A 7,459-nucleotide genomic window follows, 5' to 3' on the forward strand; every position below is an offset into this window, starting at 1 on the left:
TTTTCCACTTGTATATCTTCCTGGTGAAGTATATTTTCAGATCTTTTGCTCATTTTTAAATTGGGTTGTTCATTTTCTTATTTTGAGATTAAGATGCTTTGTATATTTTGGATGCAGTTCCTTTATGAGATACATGATTCTCAAATATATCTCCCAGTCTGTGACTTGTCTTTTTTATCTTGTGAAAGTGTCCTTCAAACAGCGAAAGTTTTGAATTTTAATAAAGTTCAACTTATCTATTCCTTCTTTAATGGATTGTCCTTATGGTTGTTTTAAAAAATTCATCACCCAAGGTCACCTGAATTTTCTCCTATATTTTCTTTTAGAATATTTACAGTATTAAATACAGCATTTTACATTTAAGTAGGGGAGATGTGAGGTCTGTGTCTATATTTTTTGTTTGTTTGTTTGCTTGGTTGGTTGTTTATGATGAATGTCCAATTGCTTCAGCACTGTTTGTTAAAAAGGAAAGCACCGAGTTATTTCAACAGTAGTATTCTTTCGTCAATACCATGCTATGTTGAATACTGCCGCTTAAGGGTAAGTCTTAGAATCAATTACTGTGAGTTGTCCAACTATGTTCTAGGAAGAACTGTTTCTCTTTCTCTAGTGCTTTTTAGAATGCTTGCTTTTCAATATAAATTTTAGAATTGATTTGTCAATATCTATATTTTGCAGGTATTTTGGCTGGTATTGCATTGAGTCCATAGATCAACTTGGGAATAACTGGCACCAGGCCTCCAATCTATGAACATAAAATATCTCTTCATTTGTTTATATCTTTATTTAATCAAATATGTGTACATTTCCACATAAAGACCCCATTGTATATATTTTGGTAGAATAAACCTATTGTCTTGGTCCCTTTGTGCTGGTATTGTAAAATACCACAAACTGGGTAATTTATTGAAGAAAACCAAAAATGTTTCATCCCAAAATACATATTTTTGACATATTTTGAGACGGCTATTTAGAGGGACTGCAAACACAAAAACAGCCCTAAAAAGCTACTCTTCTGAGAGGGAGATTTGCATCTGTAGAGGAAATAAAGTGAGATAAATAGCAGATGCAAACTGGCTTTCTTTGAGGACCCTTCTTGGATCTAGGAAAGATTAACTGAGAGTCCGACACCTTTGAAAGTCTAACAGAGAAACTTATCCCACAGGCTACCCTGTATTCTTTCTGAGAGTTTCTATCTGTGAGGTTTTATCTGCACAGCAAGACCTCTGCTCTATGCCTTTCTTTCTTGCTCCCTTTCATAACTTGTCTTGCCTTGCTCCAAGCCCCTATTCTTTCTGTAACCTCAAGACAGTATAAAAACATCAACCATCTGGCCCTTTCTCTGCGTTTTCTTATTTTGTATGGCTTCCATTCATGTGTATGCACATTAATAACTGTGTATGCCTTTTACCTGTTAATCTGTTCTGTTTCTTTTGTAAACTCAAATGATCAAATATTCAGGGAAAACATTAAACTGCCCTACATGATAAATAACAGAAATTTATATCTTGCGGTTCTAGAAGCTGAGAAGTCCAAGATCAAGGCACCAGCAGGTTCAGTGTGTGGTGAGAGCTGCACTCCGCTTTAAGATGGTGCCTTAAAGGCAGTGTCCTCACATGGTGGAAAGCAGAAGGGCAAGAAGAGCCTAGCTAGTTTCCATTCAGCCTTTTTATAAGGTTGCTAATTCCATTCCTGTAGGCAGAACATCCACGGCTCAATTGCCTGCAAGGCCTCACTTCTTCAGTAATGCTGCATTGGGGTTTCAGTTTCGAAGAGGACACAAACAATAAAACCATAGCATTTCTCCTTTGGCTCCCCAAAATTTGTATCCTTCTCACATACAAAACATATTTATTCCATCCCAATAACCCCCAAAGTCTTCATTTGTTCCAGCATGAACTCAACAGTCTAAGCCCAGCATCTCATCTAAATCAGATATGGGTGAGACTAAAGGTACAATTTATACTAAGCAAATTTCTCTCCAGCTACGAATGTGTACAATCAAACAAGTTATTGTTTCCAAAATACAATGGTGGCCCAGGCATAGGATAGACATTTCTGTTCCAAAAGGGAGAAATAAGCAAAAAGAAATGGGTAACAGGCCACAAGTAAGTTCAACACACAACAAAGTAGACATTAAATCTTGAGGATTGAAAATCTTCTTTGACTTGATGTCCTGCTTTCTGAACAGAGTTGGGGCCTCAAAGCCCTGGGAAGCCCCGTGTCCATGGCTTTGCTGCATGCAACTCACACAGCAGCTAACAAGTTGGAGTCCAGTGCCTATGGCTCTCCCAGTCTGGCATTGCACACTGGTGGCTCTACCGTCCTGGGGTTTTGGGGGTTGCCTCAACCCCACAGTTCTATTCAGCATTGTCTTAGTGAAGATTCTCTCTACAGTGGCCCAACCCGTGTGGTGGTTCTTTGCCTAGACACCAAGGCTCTCCTATGCATCCTTTAAAATCGAGGGGGAGGCAACCATGCCTCCACAGCTTGGATGCTCTGTGCACCTTCAGAGTTAGCACTATGTGGATGCTGCAAGGATTAAAGATTGTACCTCTGGTGTGGTGGTCTGAGCTGCAGCTGGGTGCATTTGAGCTACAGCTGAGGTGGCCAAGGAGCACAGTGCTGAAATGTGAAGGGCAGAAACTTGGAGCCGAGCTGGGCTGCAAGCCTCGACATCCAAAGTGTGCCCTAGGCCCCTCCCCTGAAACCTCTCCTATCAAGGCCCTGGCATTCTGGGCCCATGATGGTAGTGGCAGCCTCAAATATTTCTAAAATGCCTTCAGGGTCATTCTTCCATTGTTCTGATGAATAATATCTAGCTTTCTTCTATCATAATAATCTCCCTATCAAATTGTTCACTTATCCACACCCTTGGCATTTTTCTTTTTTTTTTTTTTTTTTTTTTTTACCAGAATTAGGATTTTTATACTTTACATGGCCAGGCTGAGAATTTTCCAAATATTTTAGTTCTGCTTTCCTCTTGATTATAAATTTCATCTTTAATTTGTTTATTTCTTGGTTTTATTTCAAGTAGAAGAAAGGTTTTATTTCAAGGGGAGAAGCCATGCATCACCTTCAACACTTTTTTATATACTTCTGCAAAATATCTTAGTTTGTCACTCACAAGTTCTGCCTTCCGCAAGGCAGGAAGTAGGTCATAGACACAATGCAGCCAAGTTCTTTGTTACTTTATAACAAAGATGGCCTTTCTTCTGGTTTCCAATAAGATGTGCCTCATTTCCATCCGAAACCTCGTAAGAATGACCTTTACTGTTATTTCTACCAACATCAGATCATGACCACTTAAGTCATCTCTAAGAAGATTAAGACTCTGTCTATAGCTCTCATTTTCTTCTGAGCCCTTATCAGAATGCAGTTTTTTTGAGCATGCATCCCCAAACTCTTCCAGCCTCTACACATTACCCAGTTCTGAAGCCACTTCCACATTTTTTAGGTATTTGTTTTAGTAACGCCCCACATCTGGTACCAATTCCTGTCTTGGTCTATTTGGGCTGCTATAACAAAGTATCACAGAGTGCATAGTTTATGAACAATAGAAAAATTTATTTCTCACAGTTTTGCAGATTGGGAACTCCTGCAAAATCAGGGCACTGGAAGGTTTGTTGGATGGAGCGGTCTATACATGTCAATTATATCAAATGTATCTATAGTGCTGTTAAGGTCAACTGTATACTACTGATTTTCTTTCTGCTTGATCCATCAATTACTGAATAAGTGTTATCAATGCCTCCAACTGAAATAGTAAACACGTATTTTCCTTGTAATTCTATCAGTTTTTCTTCATGTGCCTTGATGCTCTTTTATTTGGTTCATACACATTTAAAATGTTCATCTTAAGTGATTAAACAATTTATCATTATGAAATGCTCAGTAATCTTTCTTGTTCATAAGTCTGCTTTGACTGAATAAAATATAGCTGAACTAGCTTTATTTTGACTAGTATTATGTGGTGTATCTTTCTCTATCCCTTTGTTACCCATATATCTGTGTCCCTGAATCTAAAGTGAGTTAGTTTCAGGAAATACATGTTGGATCTTGATTTTTTATCAACTCTAGTAATCTGTCTTTTAATTGGTGTATTTAGACCACTAACATTTAGAGTAATTATTATAGTTGGATTAATACATACAGTATTTGTTGTCTATTGGTCACATTTGTTTCTTTTTTCCCTTTTCTTTCTCCTTATCTGCCTTTTCTGTTGTTTTTTTTTTAATTTAGCATTTTATAAGATCTCTCTAAGCACATCAGCTATTTTGCCTTTCAAAAATTATTTGTTGCTGTAGAGTTTTGACACACATTCTAAATCTATCTTCAAATCATATATCATTTTAAATGTAGCACAGATATACTGTAATAGAGAATTCTCAATTGTTCCCTCTTGTTCCTTCTGACATTGCTGTTTGTATTAGTCTGTTCCATTGCCAAAAAGGAATACCTGAGACTGGGTAATTAACAAAGAAAAGAAGTTTAACTAGTTCATAGTTCTATGGGCTATACAAGAAGCATGGCAACAGCATCTGCCTTTGAGAGGACCTCAGGAAGCTTCCACTCATGGTAGAAAGTAAAGGGGGTGCAGGTGCTTCACATGGTGAGAAAGAGATCAAGAGAGAGGTGAGGAGGTGCCACTCACTTTTAATCAACCAAATCTTTCATGAACTCACAGAATAACAGTTCACTCATTGCCATGAAGAGGGTACCAAGTCATTCATAAGAGACCTGCCCCCATGAGCCAAACACCTTCCATCAGGCTCCACTTCCAGCAGTGGAAATAACATTTCAACATGAGAGTTGGAGGGGACAAAGATCCAAACTATATCAATGTTATTCATTTTACTTATCTGTATAATTCCCAAAACTTTGTTAATATTATTACTTTAAGAAAGCAGTTACTTTTAAGATCAATAAATATAATTGATCTTTTATTTTTTCTTACTATTCTTTCTCTCTGCTTGATCCAAGTTTGTGGCTTACATTCTTTTCTTTCTGCCTATAGAATATCTACTAAATTTTTTTGCAGGGAAGATCTGGTTGAAAATGAACACTCAATACATGAAAAAAAATTATGTCTTTTTTTACATTTGAAGAATAATTTTAATGGATGTAAATTTTTTAAAATACTCTAAATATATTTACATTAAAGTATATTTAAGTATTTTTCACCACTCTATTCTTTCTTCCATGGTTTCTAATGAGTCATCTACTGTAATTCTTATATTTGTTCATCAGTAGGTAAGGTGACCTTTTTTCCTTCTGGATTGTTTCAAGATTTCTCTTTATCTTTGGTTTTCTGCAGCTTAAATATAAAATGTGTAGCTGCAGCTTGTTTTTTCTCAGTAGTTATTCTGTTTGGATTTGTCTAGTTTCTTGAATCTGTGTTTTGGTCTCTGTCTCAGTTGTTATAATTTCAAATATTTCTTCAGTTCCTTTCAATTTATCTTCTGTCATTCTAATTACACATTTTTACACTTTTGAAATCATCACAAAGGTCTTGTATATTCTTTTCTACTTTATTTTCTTTCTTCGTTTTTCACTCTGTTATGTTAGTAATGTTTGTAGAGGGTGAACATTCTCTAATCTTCTAATTAAATCTGATTATTTTAGTGGCCTGTGTTGGGAGCAAGCCCCCCAAAATCCGGCCATAAACTGGCCCCAAGACTGGCCATAAACAAAATCTCTGCAACACTGTGACGTGTTCATAACGGCCCTAACGCCCAAGCTGGAAGCTTGTGGGTTTACGGGAATGAGGGCAAGGAACACCTGGCCCTCCCAGGGCGGAAAACCGCTTAAAGGCATTCTTAAGCCACAAACAATAGCATGATCGATTTATGCCTTAAGGACATGTTCCTCCTGCGGTTAACTAGCCCAACCTATTCATTTAATTCGGCCCATCCCTTTGTTTCCCATAAGGGATACTTTTAGTTAATTTAATATCTATAGAAACAGTGCTAATGACTGGTTTGCTGTTAATAAACATGTGGGTAAATCTCTGTTAGGGGCTGTCAGCTCTGAAGGCTGTGAGACCCCTGATTTCGCACTTCACACCTCTGTATTTCTGTATGTGTGTCTGTAATTCCTCCAGTGCCACTGGTTTAGGGTCTCCCCGACCAAGCTGTTCCCGGCCTGCTTTCCAGAGCTGTGACTTTCACAAGTGTTTTTCCAATGGTTTAACTTTTTATTTTTTTCTGCTGTCTACTTCTTTTTCCAGACACAGAGTTCCAGAATGCTGTTTTATCTTTCTTCCTTCTTAGTTGAAATAAAACTAGTATTAGATTTAGAACTGTGTTCTGTCAAAGTCTTTTCCCTTGGGAAACTTGCCTTTATTATGATCAAGTTTCTGGGAATATTGCACAATGATTACTCTTCTCTCCCTAACAGAGCCATGAGATCATCATTGGATCTTCACTGTGAGAAACCAGTGGTATTCTTGGAGGTAATATCCCCGAAAATCTTGCAGTGCCCATGCTGTGGTTCTGAGGTCTTTCTCACTCTCACACTCGACAGTTCATCAATAGTCCAGACTCGACAATTCATCAAAATTACTCTTTAAATAACAAGTTTATAGCCCCAGGGCCTCCTATTCCAAGTAAGCCATTCTTCATTGCTATCTCTCTGTATGCACCTCTCTCTACAGATTTGGGGTTCTGTAACTTCAGTTCTCTGATAGGACCCAGAAATTACTGGTTTTCAGCTTTTCCAGCTTTTACTGTTGTAAGGATGGTGTAATTATTTCCAAGCTCTTTACCTGTAATAAATAAATCCTGAAGTGTAATTAAATGCTTTTAAGTATAAAATTCTTAGCCAGTGATACCTTGTCCCTTTTTATAAAACAAAACAAAACCAAAAAAAAAATAGTTATGTAAGTATCATCTAGGAATCTTCTTAGAAAATAGACCCCTAGAGATTCTGTTTCAGGAATGTTGTGATCCAGACACCATTATTAAGAACTAACCTTGGTAAATTTTTTTTTGTACAATCAGGTTGTAGAAACTAATGGTCTAGAAAATAAAGGTAATATTTTTAGAGTTATTGTCTCAGTTCAGTAAGGTTGCTATAGCTAAATACCATAATCTGGGTGGATTATAAACAGCAGAAATTTATTTCTCAGAATTCTGGAGGTTGAGAAGTCGACAATCAAGGCACTGGCAAATTTGGAGTCTGCTGAGGGCCGCCTTCTTGGTTCATAGATGGCACCCTCTCACTGTGTACACACATGGAAGAATTGGCAAGGCAGCTCTCTGGGGCCTCTTCTATAAAGGCACTAATCCGTCCCCATAATACCATCACATTAGTCATTGAATTTTAATGTATGACTTTTGAAAAGACACAAACATTAAAATTGACAGTTATTGATTCATTATTATTTTCTACTTCTTTTCATATCTAACATAAACCGAACTTATTTTAAAGCAGTTACTATGATCTTAAGTATTCTAGT

The 7,459-nt window shown here is 37.1% G+C and overlaps 1 annotated feature.

Annotated features, from left to right (window-relative positions):
- Nucleotides 5,559-6,178: an enhancer, noted in NCBI's record as "NANOG-H3K27ac hESC enhancer chr7:119807553-119808172 (GRCh37/hg19 assembly coordinates)". NCBI's record gives its function as "activates a minimal SCP1, AML or CMV promoter by ChIP-STARR-seq in naive H9 embryonic stem cells {active_cell/tissue: H9 hESC(naive)}" and the evidence as "EXISTENCE:reporter gene assay evidence [ECO:0000049][PMID:30033119]".

The sequence above is a fragment of the Homo sapiens genome, chromosome 7 (genome assembly GCF_000001405.40).
Source record: "Homo sapiens chromosome 7, GRCh38.p14 Primary Assembly".
Taxonomy (NCBI): domain Eukaryota; kingdom Metazoa; phylum Chordata; class Mammalia; order Primates; family Hominidae; genus Homo; species Homo sapiens.